This window comes from Homo sapiens, chromosome 1, assembly GCF_000001405.40.
Source record: "Homo sapiens chromosome 1, GRCh38.p14 Primary Assembly".
NCBI lineage: Eukaryota > Metazoa > Chordata > Mammalia > Primates > Hominidae > Homo > Homo sapiens.
The window spans coordinates 217892865-217920855 of NC_000001.11; the positions used below are offsets into that span (position 1 = coordinate 217892865).

A 27991-nucleotide genomic window follows, 5' to 3' on the forward strand; every position below is an offset into this window, starting at 1 on the left:
ACCGGCACTGTAACACCACCACAGTCAATCTGATACTGAGATGGCTACTGAGTGACTAACAGGTAGGGAGCCTAGACAGTGTGGATACATTGGCCAAAGAGATGATTCACGTCCTGTGTGGGACAGAGAGAGGCAGTGTGAGATTTTATCATGCTACTCAGAATGGTGCACAATTTAAAATATATACATTGTTGATTTCTGGAATTTTCGATTTTGCATTTTCAGACTGCAGGTGACCACAGGTAACTGAAACCATGGGAAGTGAAACCCTGGGTAAGAAGGGACTACTGTATTAATGTCTTAGTTTTGGCAAATGTAGTACAATTTATGTAAGATGTTAACATTAGGGGAAGCTGGGTGTTATGGGAGCTCTCTGTACTCAGCAACTCTGTAAATCTAAAATTGTTCTAAAATAAAGAGTTAAATAAATACATACATATATACATACCTCAATTATATAAAGTGTTATCACTAATAGCTCGTTTTTCAAACACAATAGAAAAATATGTCGTAATGTCATGGGAGATTAGAAAAATGGGAGAAATAAATCAATATTATCCCCTTTAATCTATAAACTTTGCTCCTCAAATTATATTCCCTTTTTCTCCACTTTAGATGTTATCTAGGAAGGGGAGAAGCAAATATAAAGGAAGATGAGGAGTAGAAGAGAAACAATAAATGAGAGTGTAAAGATAATGGAAACCTTCAGAACTACAAACAATAGGCAATTTTTCCTAACAGGCCTAAGTGTTGATATGGTTCAGAAAAATAGAAATATTGAAGTCAATGAAGCCATGGAATACACAGGCCATTCAGAATTTGCCTGAAATCTATAAATAGGGAACTAACTCTACAGTCAACAACCACATACAGCATATATTGGCAAAGTTATTCTGGTCAGATGATGCACACAATGATATACATATATAAAACTATGTCAATATATATATGTGTATATATAACTATTCCATTGAATAAGACAAGTCATGGCATGTAATCACAAGCAACTTTATTTTCATCTCCTACTGTCCCTGTAAATGTATTCCACTGATCTAGATCTTCTGCCCTTGGGTGAGAGTGCAGGTTGTTCCCCTGACTGCTTTAGTCATGTTTAGATACTAAAAATTTCTGTAACCCTTTAAGCCACAAAACACAGTCTCATTTCAGTAAAGTGGCTCGTTCCTTGTAGTAATTAAAACTTAGAATTGAGGTGTCTCCATTTCCCTATCTTGGGTCTTCTCTAGTTGATTTCTTCTTGCTTTTCTCCTCCAACTCTTCTCCTCCTGTACCTGGTTAACTGCAGTGCCTGATCCTTCTAGTTTTAAAGACGGGAAAGATTAAGCACATTCTGGGAGTAAAATTTCATTATTTTTTTAATTTAAGGAAAAACATAAAGAAGGGAAAGAAAAGGGAAGAACAGGAAAGTTCTCACTTGATTGGTCATGTTGGGTGATGTAGCTTAACGCTGTGGGACTTGGCAGATGCTTCAGATGGCCCATTCTCTCTTGGGATCCTTAATGGGTTTTTTAATGACTTAATATCACAAATATATCCCTGCAGTGTTCTTGAATTCACCTCTATTCTGGCTGATCTTCTGTGACTCCTACAGCTGCTAGTCATCTGCGGGGCCACTTCTAGTTTGTTTCTTGTTGTTTTTTGAGACGGAGTCTCACTCTGTTGCCTAGGCTGGAGTGTAGTGGCGCGATCTCAGCTCACTGCAAGCTCCGCCTCCCGGTTTCTCCTGCCTCAGCCCCTCTAGTAGCTAGGACTAGAGGCCTGCGCCACCATGCCTGGCTAATTTTTGGGTTTTTGTTTGTTTGTTTGTTTTTTGAGATGGAGTCTCACTCTATCACCCAGGCTGGAGTGCAGTGGCTCGATCTCGGGTCACTGCAACCTCTGCCGCCCGGGTTCAAGCAATTCTCCTGCCTCAGCCTCCTGAGTAGCTGGGATCACAGATACATGCCACCACACCCAGCTAATTTTTGTATTTTTAGTAGAGATGGGGTTTCACCATGTTGTCCAGGCTGGTCTTGAAGCCCTGACCTCGTGCTCCACCCGCCTCGGCCTCCCAAAGTGCTGGGATTACAGGCATAAGCCACCGCGCCCGGGCCAATTTTGTAGATATGGGGTCTCACCGTGTTGGCCAGGCTTGTCTGGAACTCCTGACCTCAAGTGATCTGCCCGCCTCAGCCTCCCAAAGAGCTGGGATTATAGGCGTGGGCCATCGTGCCTGGCCTGCAGTTTGTTTCTTTTGAGGTCTTTCTGTCTCTCCAAGTGGTTTTCTAGGGTAAGATATGAGAAAATCCCATATTTACTCCCTATTGTAAATGACTCTTACGTAATTCACAAAAAATTATGCATTTTTTGCACTAAAAGTTTCTGGGAGGACAATTACTTCCAAACCTCAGCCTTCTGTTTTGCTACCACCCGCCATCTTAGCCAGCCTATCACTCTCTGTTTCTCAGAAATGACCCCTATTACAGTCTACTGTGACCCAACACTGCGTGGCTTATGTAGTAATTTCTCCAAGTTGTCTGTTAGAGTCTTACTGTTTTGGCTTGAGGTAAAAGAAAAATCCATCACCTGTTCTCTTTGGTGGGGTGGTACTCACAGCACAGCAACAACTCTTCCCTGAAATCCTCCTTCCAAAATCTGCCTCTAATCTCCTACACCTGATCCTTTTATACTCTCAATGTGAGTGAGAGAGTTAGGGGTTATGATGAGGGTTCTTACCCAACTATCTCAGTCAAAATTCTTATGTAAATATCCTATTAACATAGAAATACTTTTTGGTTTTTTGTTTTTGTATTTTTTTTTTTTTTTGCTTTAAATACTTACCCTGCCCTCCCCAAGTTCCGTTCATTCACAGAAAAATGAGTGTGCTTATGTCCCAGAGTACAAGATACTTTAGATCGGAATGAGTGTTTTTTTTTCCATTTTTTAAAATTACAAGTAATATTTAGACATTTTTAGGGCAGCATAAGTCAGTGATAATATCACTTGAAGAAATAGCCAAAAAAAAAGTTTCAGAAAATCTGCAGTGAATGACATGAGCATGCACAGGGTTAAAATTTGGCTTTTGTGCATTGGAACATACACCAATAATAGCATGGCCACTTACTCCAATCTTCTTTCATGCTGAGTGGTGCTAAGCCCTCTTCAAGGGATAACAACGCTAAGAGGCCTGTTGGGAAAACTGTTCAGTGGAGTCCAACACAGTTCACTTGAGAGGAAAATCAAATTTTCTCTCAGTCCTCGAGCAGTGAAAAGGTGGCACATTAACCCCCTGCATCCTTTCAATAATGTGGGAAGTAAATCTAAGTAACGCCGTACCATGAATGTGAGGCTACGTCGTCAAAAATACATAGGTCAACATTCTTCCCTGACATTTTTCTACAGTCATTTTATCCTCTCTGCATTTTATTATTATGATGGCTATTAAAGGGTCTTATATACTCTGTGGAAAGGGTGAAAAATTGCAGCCAAACATTGTATAGTTATTTTTGTAATATAAATAAAGGTGCGCTACAGTATTATATGTATATTATTATATACATTCATTATTAAACAAATATATTAAGAAACTTTTGTAGCAGAAGGGCGTATCTCTGGCCCTTTTCCCGCATTTATCCTTAGAGAGATATTCTCCCTAAGGGACTGTTTGAAGTTTTGCCACTTTTGGAAGAGAATATATAGATGGCATGATGTAGCCTTAAGCTCCCTCCACTTGCCATTCTTTGTGAATTGAGTTGGATTATGTCATTTCCCCTGATGCCCTGTAATGCAGCCTTAAGAATAATGACCCTGCAATGTGGCTCTGCTGAAAATGGCTTTTCTAGTGCCAGAAAAAATGATTCATACTTGGCTTAGGAGCCATTTCTGGAAACTGCCAGAACAAAGGACAGAGGCAATTCACTAGGGAGCTCCAGCATCATCCAATCCAATTTGGAAAAAGATGGCACATCACTAAATACAAACATTTTAATTGATATATTTATATATACATATACCTATATGCAAGCGTATGCCATGTACACATCTATTTTACATATAGATATTTATAATAACACAAATGTGTTTGTACATGCACATACGGTGTGTATGCATTTAAGGGCAGAGATGTATCAAATTGAATGCTATAGTTATTTCTCATTCCTTTATTTTAATTTTGTGTCTGAAATAGGTTAATACTCTCCTACGATGCCGCCAACCTGAAAATAGGAGCTTGGTTGAAATTGTAACTCTGCCATCATACATTCTCTTGTTCCCAGGAATTATTACATTAAAAAAAGACATACAAGGTTGTCTTGTCCACTTTAACTGCCTGCTGCCAAGTTCAAGAATCATCTGGCCACTTGGGTCGTCAATATTTGTAGAGGCAGAGATCTCCACCAGTTCTTGGGGAAGATGTATCCTCAGAGACCTTGTTAGGGAATTTGTCTCCACGTACCTAGGGAATGCCTTCTTGGCAGTGTCTTACATACCTCATTTGACCACCCAGTTCTCATATTCCTCCTTGGCTATGTGTCAAACTGCACATTTATTTTTCTTAATCTTCTCTCAAAAATCAATTCTCTGAGTCCCTTAATCATTTTTATTGATCTCTGTTGAATTTTCTCTAATATGATGGCACCTATCTTCTCCTGAAGTACAGGCATTTGCTGCTTTATTCATCCTCACCATTCCACATTCAGCTTCGGCTGGGTACAACATATAGTATGAAGGATGCCAGCTGATTTTTGTCTCATAGGACATCTACTTCCCATCATTTTGTGAGACTAAAAACACATTATAATGGGAACTTGAAGACATGCTTCTTGCATATGTTTTGTGTCTCCTGTTTTTTTTTTTTTTTTTCTCTCTAAATAAGATTCTGCTATGAATGTGAGTTAGTGTTTGGTGCATTTTTCAAGTCATGTCTCTGAAGTTTTAGGGCCACATATCTAACTTTCCATGTCTAATTCTACTTTCCATCTTTTTACTAAACTGCACTGCATGTCGGCTGAAAATTGTAAGTCTGTGTTAGAAGAGGAATAACATATAGATGTTTTTTCTAATAAAAAAGTCCTTATTTTGCAAAGGTGGCAAGCTTGTTGTACATGCAAATAATTTGTCTGAGAAGCAACTAGGAAAACTTGGGAAGTAACACGAGAGTCCCAGGTTCATTATTAGACCTGGGGAAGGGACAATTTAAATGAGAAGAACCCCTGGGTTGGGGGTGGTGTTGATGATAGGCTGTACGTGATAATTGCTACCATTTTGTGAGTGCTTACAAGGTGCTACTCTAAAGTTTTTTTCATATATCTTATTTAAACTTAAAATGTCTGTGAGAGACACAATTATTATGGTCATTTTTATAGATGCAGAAGCAAAGGCATAAAAACACTAAAAATGTGTGCAAAGTCAGTCTAGTAACTAAATTATCTGAATGGAGGACTCAAACCTAGGTAGTATGCTTAAGAACTCTCAGACCTAATCACTTCCTCTTCCTTCTATTTTTTTTTTTTTTTTAAGATAGAGTTTTGCTCTGTTACCCGGGCTGCAGTGCAGTGGTGTGATCTCGGCTCACTGAAACATCCACCTCCCGGATTCGAACGATTCTCCTGCTCAGTCTCCCGAGTAGCTAGGATAACAGGTGCATGCCACCACGCCCGGCTAATTTCTTTGTATTTTTAGGAGAGACGCGGTTCCACCATGTTGGCTAGGCTTGTCTTGAACTCTTGTCCTTAAGTGATCCACCTGCCTCGGCCTCCCAAAGCACTGGGGTTATAGGCATGAGCCACCGTGCCTGGTCTTTTTTTTTTTTTTAAATTGAGGCAAAGTCTCAATAAAAAGACAGTGGTGCAATCTCAGCTCACTGTAACCTCTGCCTCCCGGGTTCAAGCAATCCTGGGATTGTTTGTAGTATCTGGGGTTACAGGTGGGCGCCACCACACTCGGCTAATTTTTTGTATTTTTAGTAGATACGGGATCTCGCCATGTTTCCCAGGCTGGTCTCTAACTTCTGGGCTTAAGCGATCCACCTGCTTCAGCCTTCCAAAGAGCTGGGACTACAGGCGTGAACCACCATGCCTGGCCCCTAATCACTTCTTAGTGTCAGAAATATGCTTGCACTTCAAAAATCTAGGTAAACTCAGGTAGATGATCAGTGATGTATCCATCCCAGCCTTGGTTATCAAATATATATTTGTGAAGCTTTGAGAGTCAAGTTGCAAAGGCTATTACATCAACTAAGGATTGTTTAGAGAAGTAGACAACTCTGGCTGAAAAAATAAATTGCTAATTATATGTGACTTTTAAAAATGTTTTCCTTTAGTTAACTTCTTACTAGTAATTTTAAAAAACCAACTTAATAATTTATTAATGCCTCTTAGCATGGCACTTGTATACATATGTAACTAACCTGCACATTGTGCACATGTACCCTGAAACTTAAAGTATAATAATAATAAATTTAAAAAAAAGAAAAAAAATTTTTTACTTGCTGAATGATAGATTAACTTTCATCCAAAACATATTCTTAAAAATGGTCTCAGATACTAAAAATCTTTCTCGGAAACATTGCTTCATATATGTACATCAAGTTTCCTTGCCTTCTGTTTGTGCAAATCAACCTCAGAGGAAGGACAGAAGTTAACCCAGAAAGGATTAATCCAGAAGGAAAGGCAATTGATCATTAGGTTCATCTCAACCTACTGCATCCCTTTAGCCTTCACTAAAAAAGCAAGAGTCAGTTTCCATCACCTGTTTGCAAGAGAGGCCAACTCAGCTCAGCTAAAATCAAATCCATATTCATCAAATCTCCCTGTTTGGATCACTTATTTTGTTAAAATGAAAAGTAGTATTTCAAAGGGATTCAATTTATGTTCCAAGGGACATAAGAACCATTCTTAAAATATGAACGATTCCTGCAATAAATTATTAGTGGCAACCTCTGGTCAGGTCTCTTAGAACTGTTTCAGAGAACTAAAGATGAATTTGCCATTTCTCATTCCCAGAGTTGAGAGGCCTACAAGAATGAGTTTTTTAATCTATGACTTACTGCCTGTTACTAAGTGATTCTGGCTGTGTCAATAAATTTGTTCACAGCTCTAATTGTGTTAATGAATTGAACATAATTAAACTTACAACATGTCATGAGTTTCTTCTGGCAGAATTCAGTAGATTTTTCAAAAAAAGATCTCTGTGGGAAAACAAATAAATGTACTGCACAACTCCTGCCATCACCATAGAGTCTCCGTGGACAAAAGATTGGAATAAGAAATTCTGAAATTGGCTGTATGTATTTATTCAGATATTTCTATCTGAATAAAGTTTTATTTAATTTGCAATCACTGTGACCTGTTCTTTGATTAAATTCACGAGATTGCGAGCTCCTTTAAAGGTAGAAAGTATATATTACTTTATCTTTATCTCCAACTCTAGGTAGAGTGCCTATTACATAAAAATGTATAGTAAGTGAATGTGGCCACATGAACAAATTCAGTCTGAATAGCTCCATTTGGGGGTTCGTGGGGGGAAGGGAGCCTATTTGGTCATCTCCTATGTGCTGGTCACTAAGCTCAGAGCTCTAACATATAAAATTGTAATCCCAGACTTTGGGAGGCTGAGGGGGGAGGATTGTTTGAGCCCAGGAGTTAAAGACCAGCCTGGGCAACATAGTGAGACCCCATCTCTGCAAAAAATAGCTGGGCATGGTGGCGCACATCTGTAGTCCCAGTTATTCAGGAGGCTGAGGTGGGAGGATTGCATGAACCTAGGAGTTTAAGGCTGCAGTGAGCTCTAATTACACCACTGCACTCCAGCCTGGGCAGCAGAGTGAAGCTTTGTCTCAAAAAAAGATAAAATAAAATAAGATAAATTTGTACTTAATCCTTACAAAACCCACTGGAGGGCATCTAATGACAGTAGCTTCCCCCCTTACCTGAGTCTTTGCTTTTAGCTGTTTCAGTTGCCCATGGTACACCACAATAAGATATTCTGAGGGAGAGACAGGCTACATTTACATACAGTTTATTATAGCATATTGTTATAACTGTTCTGTTCTATTATTAGTTATTGTTGCTGATCTCTTACTATGCCTAATGTAGAAATTAAACTTTATCATAGGTATGTACAGTGTGAACCCCCAAAATTTGAGACAGGTCTCAGCTAATTTAGAAAGTCTATTTTGCCATGGTTGAGGATGCGCACCCGTGATACAGCCTCGGGAGGTTCTGACGACATGTGTCCAAGGTAGAGCACAGCTTGGTTTTGTACATTTTAGGGAGACATGAGACATCAATTAACATACAAAAGATGAACACTGATTCTGTGCAGAAAGGGAGGACAAGCAAAAGCAAAAAGCAAAAGCAGAAGGACTGGAAGTGGGGAGGGGGATTCCAGGTCATAGGTAGATAAGAGACAAATTGTTGCATTCTTTTTTTTTTTTTTTTTTTTTGAGACAGAGTTTCACTCTTGTTGCCCAGGCTGGAGTGCAATGGTGCGATCTTGGCTCACTGCAACCTCCATCTCCTGGGTTCAAGCTGTTCTCCTGCCTCAGCCTCCCCAGTAGCTGGGATTATAGGCATGCACCACCACGCCCCGCTAATTTTTGTATTTTTCATGGAGACTGGGTTTCTTCATGTTGGTCAGGCTCAAACTCCTGACCTCAGGTGATCCGCCCAGCTTTGCCTCCCAAAGTGCTGGGATTACAGGCATGAGCCACCTCACCTGGCATGGTTGCATTCTTTTGAGTTTCTGATGAGCCTCTCCAAAGGAAGCAATCAGATATGCATTTCTCTCAGTGAACAGAGGGGTAATTTTGAATAGAATGAGAGGCAGGTTTGCTCTAGGCAGTTCACAGCTTGATTTTTCCCTTTAGCTTCATGATTTCAGGAGCCCAAGATATTTTCCTTTCACCACAGTCGTGTGTCACATAATGACATGTCAGTCAATGACAAACTTCATACATGAAGGTGGTTCCATAAGATTATAATACTGTATTTTTACTATATGTTTTCTGTTTAGATACACAAATACTTCCAATTGTGTTACAATTGCCTATAGTATTCCGTACAATAACATGTTGTACAGGTTTGTAGCCTAGGAGCAATAGGCTATACCACATACCTTGGGTGTGTAATAGGCTATATCATATAGCCTGGGTGTGTGGTAAGCTATTCCATCTAGGTTTGTGGAAGTACACTCTATGATGTGTACACGATGAAGAAACCACCTAACAATGCATTTCTCAGAACTTATCCCCATCCTTAAGTGATACATGACTGTACAGGAAAAAAAAAAACAGGGCATATATAGGGTTTAGTGCTGTCTGCATTTTTAGGCATTCACAGGGTTCTTGGAACATATGCTTTTGTAATAATGGGGGACTTCTGTATCTTCAGTTGGTATGTGAGAAAGCTAAAGCTCAAAGAGGTTGAGTAACTTATCTGAGCCTAGATTTAAGTGGGTAGGAGACTTGGGATTTAAATCCATGTCTACGTGACTCCCATACTTAGCTCCTTTCACGGCCCCATGCTGTGCTTAGAAAATACTTGAGGGGCAGGTGTGCCTGTTGTGCCCATGGTTGACAAAGGTGCACTATAAATAGTTACCAAGAGTTCTTTAGGCACCATACACTTTGCTTAAATAATTTGCCTTTGCCTAAATGCTTTTTTAAAAAGTAAAATTAGTTGGCAGTTAAGAAGGATTTCTGGCTGGCCATGGTGGCTCAGGCCTGTAATCCTAGCACTCTGGGAGGTCAAGGCAGGTGGATCACCTGAGGTCAGGAGTTTGAGACCAGCCTGACCAACATGGTGAAACCCCATCTCTACTAAAAATACAAAAAATTAGCCAGGTGTGGTGGCGCATGCCTGTAATCCCAGCTACTGGGGAGGCTGAGGCAGGAGAATTGCTTGAACCCGGGAGGCGGAGGTTGCAGTGAGCCTAGATTGCACCATTGCACTCCAGCCTGGGCAACAAGAGTGAAACTGTCTCATAAAAAAAAAAAAAAAAAAAAAAGGAAGGATTTCCAACTTTTTAAAAGGTATTTTATTCACATTATGTCTGCTGCAGTGCAAGGCATGGGTCCGGCATACTGGGAGTGTTTAATAAGTGCCTAATGTGACAAATCTTTCATTGAATTATTATTTTATGAAATATTGCTGCCAAAAGAGCACTGCTTTTTACACTCAAGACCTAAAAGCTTGATTTTGACAACTAAGGAAAACGAAGTCAAGACCTAGACAACTTTCCTTACATGTGAGCACAATAAAAGGGAAAGAAAAACCCCTAAATCTATGGTTTAGTCCAAAGATTTATATTAATGTCCATTTTGCTAGAACCACTCACAAATAATCTTGTAAGGTTATTAGAGTTTTAGCTATTTCCTGAGAGTGCAAAGCCTGAGATAGGAAGAGGAAAGTAAGAAAAGAAGCAACAAGCTCAAATAAATTCTAATAATCTTAATATATCTCTTTACAGTGTATAAGTTTCTCCAACATGTTCTGTCTTATTCCAGTCTAAGAAGAGCCACCCCATAAGCGGGGCAGGACAGTGAGCATAATTCCCATTTCATATATGCAGAAATAGAACGATTGAGGATTATGCTTAAAAAGCCCAACCAAAGCAGCTTGGGCTTACTCTTCCTCCTTCTGCAGCTTGTCACCCTCTGAAGAGCAGTTTGCCAGGGCTCTTCCACTGGGAAAGCACTGTGAGTTTCAGGCAGGCCAGCTAGGAAGGCATGAGGCAGGGGGTGGGTCCAACCTCCTGCACTAGACCCACCCTGAGAAAGCAGGGTATGTTGGACCGAACTCAGGGACCTCCGTGCATTGAGAGATGCTAAAAGAATGAGAATGTAAAATGCATAACTGAGGGCAGATCAGATGGCAAACGAGCTAATTTTAGCTAAGAAGCCCAAGAGAAATGATATGAATTAGCCGAGTAATCAATAGATTTCAGATATCTGAGTGCTATAGAACCCAAATCTGCGGCATGTTTAATTCTGTTTCTGAAAATGTTTATTTTATATAAACACAAATGATACTTCTTACTACTATTTTTTTAAAATAAAGTATTACATTTGGGGGAGACCTGTAACAATATTGCCTCTAAATTGATTTGTTCAAGTCCATCTTTTTAATAAAATACAGCCAATCCTCATTATTTGTGAATTCCACATGCATGAATTTCCCTGATTGCTAAAATGTGTTTGTAATCCTTAAGTCAATATGCTTGGTGCTGTTACGTAATTTTGAGGACATATACAGAGTGGTGAAAAATTGGAGTGCACATTCTTAGCTTAGGTCAAAGTGATGGTCTACCTTCTTGTTTCAGGTCTTATATATTGTAAACTTTTTTGTAGTCTATCAAGTGCCACCTTTTCCACATTTTTAGACATTTTGTGGTGATTTTGCTTTTGAAAATGGCTCCCAAGTATAGTGCTAAAGGGCTGCCTAGTTTTGTTAGTCCAAGAAGGCTGAGATGAGGCTTACAGAGAAAATACGTGTGTTAGATAAGGTTTCTTCAGGCATGAGTTATAGTTATTAGCTATCAGTTTAATGAATCAGCAATATATATTACATAAGTTATCTTTAAACAGAAACACACATAAAACAAGGTTGTACATTGATCAGTTGACAAAAAAGTTATGACCAGAGGCTTGCAGGAACCTAACCCTGTATTTTTCCTAGGAGCAAAGGTTAAGTATTTGCTAATTTCGTGTTCACAATAACTTTATAAAATGTAACTACCACACATAATGAGAATCAACTGTGCATTTTAAGAGATAGTCTAATGAGAGTCTTGCTGGTGACTGTTGACTGTAGGTGCTAGTGTGGCACATAGTAGACACTCAATAGATGTTTTAGTGAATGAGTGAATGAAGCCAAAAGATTTACACTCTATAAGTTGGCAAGGATATTAAATAGAACTTACGCTAACTGGTTATGTATGCAAACTACATGGAGAAATGAAGAGAATCAGGTCAAGATAGCAGGAAATAGTCTGAAGCTGACTCCCAGAGAAGAGGTTGCAGGGTAAGTACCCATTTTGCATGACTCCAGCAGCTACGGAGAAACTTGGAGGCCCAGTGACAGGGCTATCCCCAAGAAAACAAACTGGCAACACCCAGGGTGGAAGACCTGCAAAGCAGCTGTCACTTTGGCCTGCCCACAGGAGAGGGGTTTGGGAGTGGAGCCAGAAAGCAAAAAGTTACTATCAGTAGCTTCTAAAACCTTGTAGAAGTAGTCCCAGCCCTAACACCGAGCCAGATAGGCACATCAATCTTAAAGAAGATGAGTGCTGATTTGTTCTCATAATCATCATGGTAGGTAGATAGGTAATGGCCCCTGAGAGATGTCCATGTCCTAATCCCCAGAACCCATGACTATGTTATATGGGAAAGGGGAATTATGTTTACTAATGGAATTAAGTTTGCTAATCAGCTGACCTTAAAATCAGGAGATTATCCTGGATCATCTCTCTGGGTGGGCCCAATGTCATCGCCAGCATCCTTATAAGGAAGCAGGAGGCAGAAGAAGAGTGAGTGTCAGAGCGTTGCAATGTGGGAAAGACTTTGCCATCATTGCCGGCTTTGGAAAGGGAAGAGGGTCATGATCCAAGGAATGCGGGCAACTTCTAGATGCTGATGAATGCAAAGAAACAGTCTCCCCTCCAGCCTCCAGAAAGGAATGCATCTTTGCTGAGACCTTGATTTTAGCTCAGTAAGACTGATTTCAGCCTGCTGACCTTTAGAACTGTATGAGAATAAACATGTGTTGTGTTAAGCCACTAAATTCATAGTAATTTCTTACAGCATCAATAGGAAACTCTTTCTATATTCGTGTGGCATTTTAGTGTTTTCAGATGCTTTCATCTATGTGACCCTGCATGATCTTTATAATTCTGGGTGAGGGAGAGATTAGAAGACCCCAAACCTGAAAGCTTGTGCCTACTAAGAAGCTGAACTGTACTCAAGTCTAGGCCTTATTTGCTTTTGTAAAGATTCCTTTAGTTCATACTTAAGAAGTTCTAAAATCTTCTGGGATCACATTCAGACATTTGGGAACCTCTGAGGGACACCCTTATAGAATTTAAATGACATTTTCTAGGACAGCCAATCAGGGAAATCCAATGTTTCCATAGCAGTTCACTGCCACCTTCTCTGAGGTAGTGCCATATCAGAGGCTGCTCGATAGGTGTGATAGGCAGAATTGTGCTTCCTATGCCCTTCACCCTCTGGGGCTATGCCTATGAGTATGTGATGTTGCATGGCAAAAGGGACTTTGCCATTGTAATTGATGTCACTAATCAGGGACCTTAGCGTTGGGAGATTATCTTGGATTACCCTGGCCATACCAATGTTAGTACATGAGCCCTTAAAAGGAGGGCTTTTCCCCTGATGAGAATGGAAAAGAAAGGGAGGCAGAGAGATGCACCAGAAGGGAGACCTCACAGAGATTTGAAGCTCAACAGAGACTCAACATCACTGATGGCTTGAAGATGGAGGGAAACATATAGATACTGTGAGAAGGAAATGAATTCTTCCAACAACTAGTGAGCTTGGAAGAGGACTTAAGCCCCAGGTGAAAAGGGTAGCCCTGGTAGATACCTTGGCTTTCACCCAGTGAGACCGTAAGCAGAGAACCCAAATGAGCCACACCGTGGGCAGACTTCTGACCTACAGAACTGTGAGATAATAATAAATATGTGTTCCATTAAGTTGTTAAATTTGTGGCCACTTACACAACTAACACAATAGGAAAGGGTCATAAAAGATACAGAAGCAGGTAGGGATGTCATTCAAAAAAAGAAATAAGCTTACATTTGCAACTAAGGGACAGGGAAGGATTCTGGATAAGAGATAGAATTAAACATGGATCTTAAAAGATAGGTCTCAAATAAAAAATTCAGCAGTGGCCAGGTGTGGTGGCTCACGCCTGTATCCCAGCAATTTGGGAAGCTGAGGCAGACGGATCACCTGAGGTCAGGAGTTCAAGACCAGCCTGGACAACATGGTAAAACCCCATCTCTACTGAAAATACAAAAATCAGCCAGGCATGGTGGTGCGCATCTGTAGTCCTAGTTACTCTGGAGACTGAGGCATGAGAATTGCTTGAACCCAGGAGGTGGAGGTTGCAGTGAGCCAAGATCACACCACTGCACTCTAGCCTGGTGACAGAGTGAGACTCCATTTCAAAAAATAAAATAAAACAAAATAAAATAGGGCAAGTGAGTGTGGAGGTGGGGAGAAATTCCCAGAGAAAGGAACAGCCTGAATAAAGGCAGGGAGTGGGGCTCAGGCTCTATCCCAGGACCAGAACATGCTCTAAACAGAGCCAGGGTCATAACCTTCTCATCTAGATTCTGGGGAATTGTTCCAGTTCAGATTGGCCCAAGGTTGCAAATCCAGAGTGAAAATTCTAGCCTGGGTGTTAATTAAGTGACATCCTGAAGCCTCCAGCTGAGATTAAAGAAGACACATTCCAGTTTGGTCCCAATCCCAGGATAAGTTCTCTCTGTGTGTTGCAGATCCTAGGACCATGCAGAGTTAATACTGACCCTGGAGCTAACTCAGACTGACCCCAAAGGCAAGGGAAGCTGGGTGAGAAGCTGGTGCTGCAGGCTGCTTGGGACGGAGTTGGGGGCAGTATTGGTGGGTGCCAGAGCTCTGACTGCCAACCTTTCATGTCAATAAATAAGATTCATCTCATCCAGTCATATCTACTAGTTCTGTTACCTTGAAAAGTATACTGGGGAATAAAGTGAATAAAGTGAGAATTGTCTACTCGGCAACTTGCAAGCCTAAATGGGTAGATGGTTTTGATGACAACAGTCAATGTTGAGCAATGGAAATGATGACTCAGGAGGTGTTTCTGATGTCCAATCATCTGCAGTGACTGCAATGACTCAACATCCTTGTTGAGAAGACTGAGAAACCTCCCATAGAAGCCTATTTCTTCAGATGTAAAGATCGTGAGCTCATAGGGTCAGAGAACCTGCCTCTGAGACCTCTCTTGCCATCTACAATCAATTATGCTTTACAAATGTTTTGTGGTTGTGTTGAGTATAAATAAGACAATAATGGTTTCTATTTGGAAGTCACACCCAATAAGGAGTTGAAGTTTTTTTGGCGAGTTCAGTCTTCAAAAACATGTATCTGACCTCCATCCGCCTACCTGCACTGAAACAATATGTATCTATATATCATTTAGATTTTTAAGAATCTTCTCTTGGTATAGGAGACAGAATCAAGTGGGGCAGTCTCAAACAGCAGGTTTTCAACGCAGTGGCAGGGAAGAAGTTCCCAGCAGGGGCGGGGAGGGGGAAACTTGGGATATTTGGGGACCAGCAAATGTTATCAGGGAATGACATCTGTTCCATTAGAAAGGAATGGCAATTTTCAACATAATATATTGTGATTCTGTTTTCCCAAGTTCTTCTGGCTTAAACCCAAGAAGGCAATAAAACCAACACTGGCTATAGAGTCAGGAAGCCATGAGTCTGAATTCCAGCTCCACTGTCAACGAACTCCATGTCTGTCTCACCTGGGATAATGTGAGAATTCAACATATTCAAGGAGGGAATACCTGTGAATGTGCTGGCAGTGTGCTCCCAAATGTTCCTGGTGATTGCATCTCTGTATTCTGTCATTCCTCTGCAGTCTTGAAGAGCCTTGCCGGACAACTGGGACAGGTGTCCTGTTCATGGAAAATAGTATAGGTTTTCCTCCTTAGTGAAGAAGATTACAGCAGGGAAAATTCTGCAAAGTGGCCACCAGCCTGAAAATGTGCCCACTCTATGGACCTTTTTTCACTCGTGTTTACTCCAAGAGAAGTTTCTTTTTCTGCGAATGAGAGCTGGGCTGTCACCTTCGTTCAGGCATCCTGCACTCTCCGTCATGTCCGTCACACATATGGTGCCTGGCAGGGTGCACCTCCACTCCAAGGCCCTTTCTGGAGAGCATCTGCTAACCCTGCCAGCCTGATGCCTCCAACCTCAGCACCACCTTTTCCCAGGTTTCTTGCTGAATCAACCAATTAGCTCAGATTGTCTCTGACTGCTTTGAACTATGTCTTGTTAAAACATGGGTGGATGGGGACCTGGTGAAGTCCAAAAGTCATTCTAAAACTGAAGTCTCTTAATTCAGCTTTGATGCCAGAAACTCCGCTCTCTTCCATTTAATGTAGTTAGCAGTCTTAGTGCTCTAGTTTTCAGTGTGACTTCTAAGAGAATCCTGGTAGGGATTTGGAGCAATGCCTTCCCTGAAGCATTCCCTACGACATTTCCTCCAGGATCTTTCCACAACCTAAAAGAAAACTGCACAATTTATTTTGGAAAAAAAAACCGTGCTCAAGGGATCGATGATATATTTAATCACAGATTATCTTTCCTTTAACAGCTGCACCTCAGCTCATCATATCCTTGTGACAGTCCCAATACTTAAGAGTCAAATAATGACACTAAAGTTTCCACCTCTCTGCAACCGGTTTTTGATAAGACTAAACTCTCTCTGGAACAATAGTGTTCCCTGCACTTTCTGAAAGAATGTTTCTGCAAGGGTACCCTGTACTTTTGTGAGCCAGGTAGATGGTGAGAACAGAGTTGTCCTGTCACCCTTGGAAATTTTGTCTAGTGACTTGCGGTTTTTTTTCTTTGGAGTTGTTGTCTTGCCCTGATTCCAAATACTTATTTTGGTTCCTAAAATTATATTGAGGATTGCTTAAAAGCTAACTAGAAACTTAATATTAAGGGAAGCTCATAAAAGCCTGTTTTACATAATACATAAAGACTCTTATAAGCTCCAAAATTTCCCTTTGGAGGTTATTTATTTGTTATAAGTAAAATAGTGTCATGAAGAAACTACCTTTTGCTACCTCTGGTGTTTATTCTTCAACCTGAGAACTACTCTGGTTTGACCAAGCAAGTCTATCGATCAGTTCCTCATACAAACTCTGGAAACTTTCACAAATGAAAACTTCAACCAAAAACCACAAAGAAAACCTACATTTTAGAGGTGATATCTGCCTTAATTGTTTGCAAATTGCTGTGATATCACAGTTGACATCATAAAGGGGAAGAAGAAATATACATAAATCAAGCTTTTTTCCATATTTAAACTATTTCTTCTGACTAAATGGATTATTTTAGGTTTGCACATTCAGTGTAATTAGTGCATATGGTCCAGCTGTGAAGAAATAGCTGAGGACTCCTAACTTATTATTAATTAGGCTCATTAAAATGCAAGTAAGAGAACGTTGCCTAGGTAAACAATACCTTATGTCAAAAAGTCATTACTTGACAAGAGCTAGTCTTCCTAACTAAAGTCATTACTGATATTTGGCAGAGGCTTTTTTTTTAAGGCACCATGGGTGCCAGTTAACTACTTTTGACTGACATCAAGGACAGACATGCAGAGCTGGAAAGAGCTGGTGGTACAGCACAGCCATTCTTTTCACATCATTTCAAAATACGTCTGGGGGAGGTTAAAGGTTGACAGCCCAATGACAGGCCTTCTTCAACTGCCGTGGTGTCACAGCAGGAGCATGTCAGGAAAATTTCCTCGGCCCCTCTGAATTTCTTACATGTTCACATTTCTTTTCCTGTCTCACAAGTAGGGAGGGATTGGCAGATTTGTGACAAACACCTGGGAAAGAAAAATGTACATTATCTCTGTTAGGAACCAGGGAGGTGTGGAGGTGAAAAGACATCTGAGCTTGAGGGGGAAGTCTCTGCTTATCCTTTGCCAAATCAAAGAGGAGGGCAGTCCACACTAGTCCACAGGGACATCCCATACTGGCCCCACTTCCTGTAACTTTGCACACTCTTCCAAGGGTGTTTATAGGTTAGCTGTGGTTTCTGTCCCCTGGAAACACAGCTCCACAGCCTGGTAACCCAGGAATTAGCTCAACTAACTTGGTGGAGGTCTTTCCGGCCTCTGAGTGTGTGAGACCACAAGCAAGGTGTGCAGAATGAACTCCAGTCTTCCATACTCTGGCCTTGGAGAGTGCCCAACTTCAACGTCAGACACTGTGGTCAGGATCTTTGAAGGTCTCAGGATTATTCCCCAGGCATAATCTTCTCTCTTAGATTTCTTTGTTTGAGTGCAACAGAAGCAGCAGCATACACATCAGCTGATTTCTGGAGTTCTAGAAATGTTTCCCTGTCTTTAAAAGTCTATGCACGCTTCCATATAAATCACGGCAGGAATGCAGGCTCTGGTCTAAATGGATCAAAAGAAGCTATTGACAGTTGCTGAAATGAGTGTCTACCCTTAACACTGGGTCAATTGATAAGTGTCTGACCTAGACTTTTGACTGACATGAAGAGATGTCAAGAAGAAATCTTTCCCAGTGATGACAACAAGGCAGGAGGAGAGCAGAGGGAGGGAAGAGAAAACCAGGGAAAGATCTCACTGCCTGGTAGACACAGTAGTGTCCTCTTAGATGCACCCCAGGAAACTGCATGCTCAGTTATGATGTTCATTCAGCACCTGTGCTTGATAAAGGATTGGAGGAGTACAGTTAAATCCAAGAATTCCATGAATGGGATTTGGAAAAATACTAAAGTTTGTCTCGATCAAATAGAACCTTATCATTAATATTACCTGTAACCCACATTCCAAAATGATTATAGGAGAAACATGAAATTTAAAGCAAAATTTTTTCCATGCTACCACATAGGAAAGTTATGTCCTTGAATAGAAATATGCACCAAAATGTTAGAGAAGTACAGAAGCACGCTAATCTGTGCTATCCCTGTTTTAGCATCTAGCAATGACCTCTTCAAGGGGAATGTTATAGAGCGTATCCTATTTTTGCAATATCACTTATCCTATATTTTAATACTACTAATATCCACAAAGTTAGTTTAGATATCTTTGCATATCAAGAAGCTGTCATTTTATATTCCAGATTTTTCCTTTTGCATTGTGATGATGTGTCCTGACAAACAACAGGATTCCATTATTAAATAGTGATGCTACCCAAATCCAGGCTTGTCCTGTGCTTGATGGCTGCTGCTATTGCTCCACAGAGATGCCTCTTCCCAACCAGAAACTGTGTTAACCGACTCTCACACTGACTTCCAATCCTCACCACAACCTTGCGAGGTCGGTATTATGACCACTACTTTACAGGTGAGGAAGCTATAGCCCAGAGAGATTAAGAAACCTGCCCAAGGACACTGGTAAACTTGCTTTTTGGTAAAATTGGAATTATATATAAAAGAACAAGGCTGGTGCTGCCCCCAGGAGGCCACTGTACTGCAAGCAGCTGCACAGACCAATCTGGAGACAGACATGGGGTCGGGGGACAGGGGAGGGCAAAGTTGGGGATGAAGGGGTGGAATCCTGCTTCTACTGCACCAATCCTCAGGCCTTTGCTATCCTTTTCTAAAGTTTGAGGAAAGAAGGCCAGGCGCGGTGGCTCACGCCTGTAATCCCGGCACTTTGGGAGGTCAAGGTGGGCGGATCACCTGAGGTCAGGAGTTTGAGACCTGCCTGGCCAACATGGTGAAACCCTGTCTCTACTAAAACTACAACAATTAGCCGGCCATGGTGGCGGGCGCCTGTACTCCCAGCTACTTGGGAGGCTGAGGCAGGAAATGGCTTGAACCCGGGAGGTGGACGTAGCAGTTAGCAGAGATTGTGCCACTGCACTCCAACCTGGGTGACAAGAGCAAGACTCTGTCTCAAAAAAAAAAAAAAAAAAAGACTAGGCTGGCAAAGTGGTTTGGTTCTGTGTCCCCAACCAAATCTCATCTGGAATTCTAATCCCCAAGTGTCAAGGGAGGGACCTGGTGGGAGGTGATTGGATTATGGGGGCGGTTTCCCCATGCTGTTTTCATGACAGTGAGTGAGTTCTCATGAGATCTGGTTGTTTGATAAGTGTCTGGTATTTCCCCTCCTCTCTGTCTCTCTCCTGTCACCTTGTGAGGAAGGTGCCTGCTTCCTCTTTGCCTTCTGCCATGATTGTAAGTTTCCTGAGGCTTCCCCAGCCATGTGGAACTGTGAGTCAATTAAATCTTTTTTGTTGATAAATTACTCAGTCTCAGATAGTATCTTTATAGCAGTGTGAGAAGAGTCGAACACAGCTGGATAGTTTTCAGGCTTGAAAAATGTAGGGAGTTTAAGCAAGCCCCTGCATTGGGTTTATGGTAAGTAGAAGAAGCTTGTGCTGAATAGCTTCCATTTCTCCTTCTCCATCTCACCATGCTCTCTGCTCCTCAACCCTTACCTCTAGAGACTGCAGGAGTGAGTTCCAGTGTCCTCCAGTGTCTGGTTGGTTTCCCTCAACAACAGTGCTAGAATCTTATCACAAATCGAGTGAAGGAGGAAAATGAACCACAGTATGAATTTTCCTGGTTCCCCATGAGTCACCTCTACAGAAAGTCCTCGTCCCTCTAAAGAGGGCAATTCTTTTTTTTTTTTTTTTTTGAGACGGAGTCTCGCTCTGTCGCCCAGGCCAGACTGCGGACTGCAGTGGCGCAATCTCGGCTCACTGCAAGCTCCGCTTCCCGGGTTCACGCCATTCTCCTGCCTCAGCCTCCCGAGTAGCTGGGACTACAGGCGCCCGCCACCGCGCCCGGCTAATTTTTTGTATTTTTAGTAGAGACGGGGTTTCACCTTGTTAGCCAGGATGGTCTCGATCTCCTGACCTCATGATCCACCCGCCTCGGCCTCCCAAAGTGCTGTAAAGAGGGCAATTCTATACAACTCTTTTCTCTTCAAGATTCCAAGAACTTCTCCGTCTTTCCTCCTTTTGAGCCTAGAAGTGATGGCTGCTCTGCTATAGCTAACCTTTGATTCTCAAAGTATTGCTAAGCAGTCCTCTCGACCCATCCACACCTTTGTAATTAGTCTCTTTGCAAACCAATTCCTTCTGAATATCCTTATTTGGGCATAATGACTGTTGGGACCCTGCCTAGACAAAGGTCAGCTATATGTATCTCCTCCCTGTATGTCCAAGAAATTTACTCTAGCTCCACTTGGAAATCTGGTCCACAACATGGAATGAGTCCTGAAGGTAAAAATGGCCAGGCCCTTCCCTCTAGTAGTGCAGAAGTCAGCAAAATCCAGAGGCCCTCACTGTCAGAAAGTTATCACCCCAGATGACCTTCTATTAGTGTCCACTAGCACTTTACGTATGTTAGCTAACATAATTCTTACAGCACTCTTCTAAGGTTGGTATTATTTTCATCCCCATTTTATGAATGAGAAAACTGAGCCTAAGGTTAGTAACTCGACTGAAGCCACATAGTACATGGCAGAACTTGAAAGTGGCCAGTAGCAAGGTCCTAAATTTCCCAGGTAAGCTTGGCAGTCTGTGAAAATGACAGAGGCTGGCATGATCTATGGGACATTCTGCAGGCATCTTGTACTTTTGGCTTCCCAAAACATAAAAAGACTTAAAATGTTCTATTCCACATGAAATATGTCCATGATGACACCAAGACAAACTGTTTCAGACAACTGCATATCTAATTGTGTATTTGTCATCTCTACTTGGATGTCTAAAGATATCTTGAATTGAACATGCCCCAAACAAAACTTTTTATACTACTCCCACTGCAAACCCAAATCTGCTCCTCCTATAACCACACCCTCTCAGTAAGTGACAACTCCATTTTTCCAGTTGCTTAGGCTGAAAACCCTAGGTCATCTTTGATTCCTCTCTTTCCTTCATGCCTCTCATTAATCCTGTATATAAACCCTGTCGGCTCTCTGCCCCTTCTCCATCTCACTTTGCTGTCTGCTGCTTACCCTTTACCTCTAGAGACTGCAGCAATGGCAGCAGTCAAGTGGCTTGAATAGTGTCCCCTCCAAAACCCATGCCCACTCAGAACCTCAGAATATGACCTTATTTGGAAATAGCGTCTTTGCAGATGTAATTAGTTAAGGATAGAGATGAGATCCTAATGGATTAGAGTGGGCCCTAAATCCAACGACTGGTGTCCTTATAAGAAGAGGAGCAGAAATAGAGATGCAGAGAAAAAGGCAATGCCAATGAAGACGGAGGTGGGGACTGGAGTAATGCTGCCTCCAGGCGAGGAGTGCCAAAGATTGATGGCAGTCACTAGAATCTAAGAGAAAGGCAAGGAATGGTTTCTCTCTCAGAGCCTCTAGAAGGAATCAATCCTGTTGACACCTTAATTAGTACCTCTAACTTCCTGAACTATGAGAGAATACATTTCTCTTATTATTATTATTATTATTATTATTATTTGTATTTTTAGTAGAGATGGGGTTTTGTCATGTTGGCCAGGCTGATCTCAAACTCCTGGCCTCAAGTGATCCGCCCACCTCAGCCTTCCAAAGTGCTGGGATTACAAGCATGATCCACTGCACCTGGCCTATCTCTCTTATTTTAATCCATCAAGCTTTTGGCAATTTGTTATGGCATCCCTAAGGAAACTAACACACCATCCTTTTAAAATATACCAAGAATATAACCACCACTTGCCACCTCGATTGCCATAACCCTCTAAGATATCATGTCCCTGGATGAATGCAATCACCTCCTAATACTCTATCCTCACCTCCTCACAGTCTGTTCTCCTCAAACAGAATGGTCCTATTAAAATGTAAGTTATATTGCTTCAGTTTGTGTCATTGTTCTCTACTGAGGTCATGGAATTTATGATTGTATCTACTATTACTATTAAGATGTTATGAAGGATGCTTTCTGATACACCTCATGATCATCCCTTTTTAAAACCTCGGGAAAATTTTTTCATGTCTCAGGACCAAAATCAGATTATGTTTCCCCAGAACAGTCGTTTATTATATATCTTTTACCTGATTGTGTTCTTGACTTTGCTTTACCAGCTATGAAACTCAGATGCAAATTGCAGCCCACCTCTAGCTCCCAAATTAATTCACATTTGCATTCATTTTGTGATTTATGCTTACCTTTGATTTAATTTTATTTTGCCTGCCTTGATTTTCCTTTTATTCTAGTTTCCTCACTTACAAAAAATGTTTTGAAAAGTATTTTAAAAGTGAATTTTTGTAAGCCACTTTTACTTTTGTGTGTTTTTGAAGATAAACAAAAGGATAAAAATGACAAACAAAAAATACTGAATAAGATCAGGCCATTCCCCTTACCAAAACACTGTATAGACTCCCTACCTTCCACAGGGTAAGAGCCAAAATCCCTATGGGAGCACATACAGCCCCATGCCATCTGGCCCCATGGCCTCTTGGATTTCTTCTCCTACCACCTTGCCCCTTTCTCACTCTGCTCTGGCCACAGTGGCCTCTGTCCTCCTCCTTAGTATCTCAGGCTTGCTGCTGCCTTCCCCTGAGCTCCCCATGGCTCACTCTTTACTTCCTTCAAGACTTTGCACAAAAGTCCCCTTCTCCATGCAACTTACTTCCACCATCCTATCTTAAATAACAACCCCCGTCAAGCTCAGTCTCTCTTACTCTGCTTAATTTTTTTTCCCATAGCAGTCAGCATCTAACAAACTATAAAATTCAATTACTTAGGTGTATAATGACTATTGTCTGTCTTGCCCCCACAGTGAAGTTTAAGCTTCATAGCACAATAATCATTATTTTGTTATACTCCATGTACCTAGGAGAGTGCCCAGAACACAGAAGGCACTCCAAAATATTTGATAAATTGGTGAACGGATGGATGAATGAATGAGGGAAAGAGAAGTAGAGAGGGTTAAAGAGATGTCAGGGGCCAGATATGTATGGGTTTTCAAACTCTGGGAAGGAATTTAAATTTCATTCTAAGTAGAAGAGGGATGGCAACTAACCTGTGTGAAGTATTTAGTTCATTGTCTATCCATCTGAGGGTCCAATTTTCTCTGCTACTGTAGAGGGTCATTTGAACAACTTTGTGAGCCTGTGGATAATATCAGGATCTTTAAAAATCCTTATATATGAACTTGCTTCAAAATAGAACCAAGAGTTTGTTTATTTGCCTCAAAGATGATAACCAATTAATTCGTTCAAAAATATCAGAAAGAGATGACAAATGTGAGAACCATTTACTGAACTGGTAACCGAATCTTCATGATGGATGAGCAGAGTCCTGCTTTATTTGCAAACAGGAAGGCTGAAATGTTAGTTCAGAGGAAAAGGCAGTCAGCTTCTATACCTCACTGGGGTTTTGCAGCAGTGTCTGGCTTCCTGGCCTATGCAGCTTAGCAAATGTTGGCATTTTAGGACAATTACTGTATGTGGCCAAAAAATGTTCAGTAATTGAGAGTTGCATCAGCCTTAGTTGGCATCCCTTTCTGTTTGTTCATAAAATGTTTGTGCCTTCATCCCAGAGAGTGGGAAATTACCTTTTAAAAGCCTCATCTAACTTTCCTCTGAGCTAAAAGGTCCATCTCCAGTAACATTTGTATTGCTTTCCCCTTCTGTTTTAGTGCTGCAAATTGGTTATCAAAATACTTCCCTGACCTTCCCCTTCCCTCTCCATCACACACTGACACATCTAGCCTAAATTTGCGTCTTGCATCACCTCAGGAAACTCATGGCTAATTTCGTTATTTGGGAGAGAAAAATGCAAATGAAGCCAGACAGCTGGTGCTCTCCTCGAGGCTGCGAGTGATGGAGGGGCCGAGGCCCACCTCATCAGAGGCCCTCACACCCTCCTGCTCAGACAGGCCCTGGCGGGGAGAGAGCAGGGAGACTGCTGGAGCAGCAGGAACAGATGGCTAGGAGGGGAAAAGATGGAGAAGCCCAAAGTGCTGGAGAGACTGGGGAAAGGTGGAGTGTCAGGCGCCGGGCAGTCAGATGCAGCATACAGGACAGGGATGGGCACTTGCAATCCTTGAACACCGTCACTTCTGAAAGGACAGCGGAGCCCTGGAATTCCATTTGGTGGCACTGTCTGCCAATGGCAATTGGCAATGTCTCTGCTCTTACCTCCATGGCCACACCTACATTTCATTTTCTGTTTCTGCATGCTCAACATCCTTTTTTTCCAAAAAGGAGACGTCGATGACAGAGAGAGAAAAATAATAAAAATAAAGGAAAGGGGAATGAGAGCATATTGCTTTCGTTCTGAATGAGCCTCAGTCTGCAAACCCAAGTGTGTGAGAGACATCTAACTTTATTTTTCTATTGTAATTTCATTTTCTCATCATGCCCTGCTGGAGTGATGGAAACTTTATTTCGTTCAGCATCCTCTGTTCCTCTGGAATTCACTGAAATAGTAGGAGACTTAGAAAGTCCTAAGAGAGGGGCATGAAGCCCTTGTGTCATCTGTCCACACTGCTCACTGCTGGGGTATCCATCATTCCCTTCAGCCCTTTGATGGTTGGTCCATATGGATTGCTGCTGAAGGGAGCTTCATTGGCTGCTCCATTTCTTATTATTATTCCAGGCCCTTCTGGTATGCACAGCTAACAGTCTAGTGTGCCAAGACTGTGCCAGCCTGGAGAAACTTCGTGGGCTATCTCAGGCTCCATCTAGCCTTCGACACTCAGGCTTATAAGGTTTGTTCTATTCCTGCTTCTCCTTCTCAGCAGGCAGGTTATACCAACACCTGCACACTCTTCCCTTGCCTGCTAAGTCGCCTTTGAGAATCTTCATCTAGTCTGGGGCAGTAACCTGGTCTCTGCTCATTCTGCATTCTCCCAAGGTCTCAATCTAGACCTCAGCTCAAGGAAAAGGCAAGAAAAACAAACAAGCAAGCAAACAAACAAACAAACTGGAGTTAGTATTTCAAAGATAGGTACTTATCTTTTAAAAAGATGGGCATGTAAAATGGGGCTTCCAGCCAAATCCATTTGGGATGAATCTGGGATTTGGTTCTCTTTGAGACACTGTGTTAGCTGATGGGATGTTTTGGGTTGGGTAAGGCCACTCTGTCCACCGCACAATCTCCGGAACCATGAGCCATCTAAGGGGTCCCTCATGTCTCCCATGGGGGATCTAAGTGACATTCTGATCTGAGGAGCAGAGTGGGGATGATTTATAGCAGCACGAACACCTAAAATCCTGCCAATATTGAATGCTGCCTAAACTGCAGGGACCACATTGTTGAGAAAGTAGGGAGACGGGAAAGGAGGAGGTGTTGGATGCACAGATTTAATCACAGCCTTTGAACCATTCCACTGATTGCAGAAAGCCTGGAGAGGGCTCGCTGGAGCCTTGTAATCATTCCTTCGATTGCACTGGGCCTTTTACATTTTATAACACTTTTGCTTTGATTATCTTGCTCTGTATTCACAATACGTCTGTGAAATAGGGGTGTTTTAAAGGCGAGGAACTAGGCAGACATGAAAAGTAAGTAGTGAAGTCCTTAGGGGCTCAGCGAGGTCTCCTCATTGTCCTGCATTTTTACTTCTTGCCTCCCCTGTCCCACCCCACTTTGGGGGCCCAGTAAACTTTGTCCTCTCCCTGGTACACTACTGTGTGTGTACGTAACTAGGCATGATATTATCTCACCCTGACTAGCCAAATGATCAGGTTCTCATGATCCAAGAGACCCAAACACATGTTGAGTTGATCTTAGTTCTTCCCATCTACTGAATGTGCTTTGAATGACTCTGGCCTTTGAGAAACTGACCTGGCTGCTGAACATTAGCACTATTCTCCCTTTTATAGGAATTATGCAGAAATTATTCCATTTCTTTGAACATTTGGGAGCATATGCAGAGTAAAGTATAAATGCTTGCAGAATGCCTTTATTTGCATATTGCAGTTTTTCAGAAATTATCTCCCTTCAGCACACCAAAGGCTTTGATTTCTACTAATTCTAATAATATTCAGGGTGAAGGAGAAACTGAGGCACAATATCATGAGTTCACATGGAAAAATCATGAGTACACATGGAAAAAAGGTAGAATTTTTGACGTGAATTATCTCAGTTTATATATACCTTTTAAAACTTTTTCCTATGTTTTCTCCTATTTACACACCGTCTGCCCTGTGGGCTGTGGTGCACATTGACATGTGTTATTGCATTGTCGCTATCCTATTTTTCCAGGTAAGGATGGTGAAACTCGGAAAGGTTAAGTCACTCAGACCCAGCATGCAGTGTCGTTTCCCTCTGCCCGCTGCCTGTGCTACACATTCTGGGCGCTGTTGCTGAGCTCCGCTCAATGGCTTTACGCCTCCCTTTCAGGGAAAAGCAGCTGCACTGAAGTTCTGTAAATGCTGTAATAGAAGTTGTTAACCACTTCCACATGATTTTTAAAGTAAATGTCACACTGCATTGTAACAGTGAGCTAACAACACGTTAGCGGGTTCTCATTCTCATTTAATTCACTTTTCCAATACGGAAGTTACTGTGATGCCTGCAAGGACGGCCACGTTCAGTGAATTACTTGGCAGCTGGGCCATTTATTTCTTCACTTCTCCCTTGCTGCCTCCCTCGGTGGTTTTTGAAGTTTAGTTATTGCTATGCTTCCTCTCATGCTGCTATCCGAGGGAGAATGGAACTGTTGGTTTCAGCAGCAGTCAGATCCTCACCATTCCAGCCTGGCTGCGGAAGCGCCCACTAGTTCCCTTTGTCTGCTGCTCTGCCCAGAGCTGGAAGCATAGGCTGAGCGGCTGCTGGCTGTCAGCTTGCAGCGTCTGATATTGTTAGGAGACGAATTATGCCCCTCCTGCCCCCCCACTGCCCTCAATTTGTATGTTGAAATCCTAATCTCTAGTACCTCAGAATGTGATCTTATTTGGAAACAGGTCCATTGAAGAGGTAGTTAGTTAAGTGGAGGTCATATTGGAGTAGGCTGAGTGAGCCGCTAATCCAACATGACTGGTGTCCTTATAAAAAGGGACAATGTGGATGCAGAGACACACACAGGGAGAATACCATGTGAAGACTGGAGTTATTCAGCCACAACTAAGGCATTTCCAGAAGCCAGGAGAGAGGCTTGGAACAGATCCTTCCCTAGAGCCTTCAGAGGGTGTGTGGCCCCGCTGACACTGACCTCAGACTTCCAGCCTCCAGAGGTGTGAGATGATAAATTTCTGTTGCTTAAATGACTCCGTTTGTTGTACTTTGTTAAGTCAGTCCTAAGATTCTACAAATGCCCA

At 41.9% G+C, this 27991-nt stretch overlaps 2 long non-coding RNA genes across 2 annotated transcripts in view, besides 1 other annotated feature; one reads left to right on the top strand and one right to left on the bottom strand.

Annotated features, from left to right (window-relative positions):
• The first annotated feature begins 35 nt into the window (after positions 1-35).
• On the top strand, positions 36-27940 carry LINC00210 (long intergenic non-protein coding RNA 210). The gene is made up of 4 exons (NR_048550.1): positions 36-62; positions 18894-19117; positions 25329-25440; positions 26720-27940. It is a non-coding gene; the product is annotated as a long intergenic non-protein coding RNA 210 (long non-coding RNA).
• Positions 8423-9043: an enhancer, noted in NCBI's record as "OCT4-NANOG hESC enhancer chr1:218074629-218075249 (GRCh37/hg19 assembly coordinates)". NCBI's record gives its function as "activates a minimal SCP1, AML or CMV promoter by ChIP-STARR-seq in primed H9 embryonic stem cells {active_cell/tissue: H9 hESC(primed)}" and the evidence as "EXISTENCE:reporter gene assay evidence [ECO:0000049][PMID:30033119]".
• LOC105372922 (uncharacterized) overlaps positions 23206-27991 on the bottom strand; it is a 132858-nt gene continuing 128072 nt past the window's right edge. The window contains exon 8 of the long non-coding RNA XR_001738466.2: positions 23206-23837. This is a non-coding gene — a long non-coding RNA (uncharacterized LOC105372922). The remainder of the gene's footprint in view (positions 23838-27991) is intronic.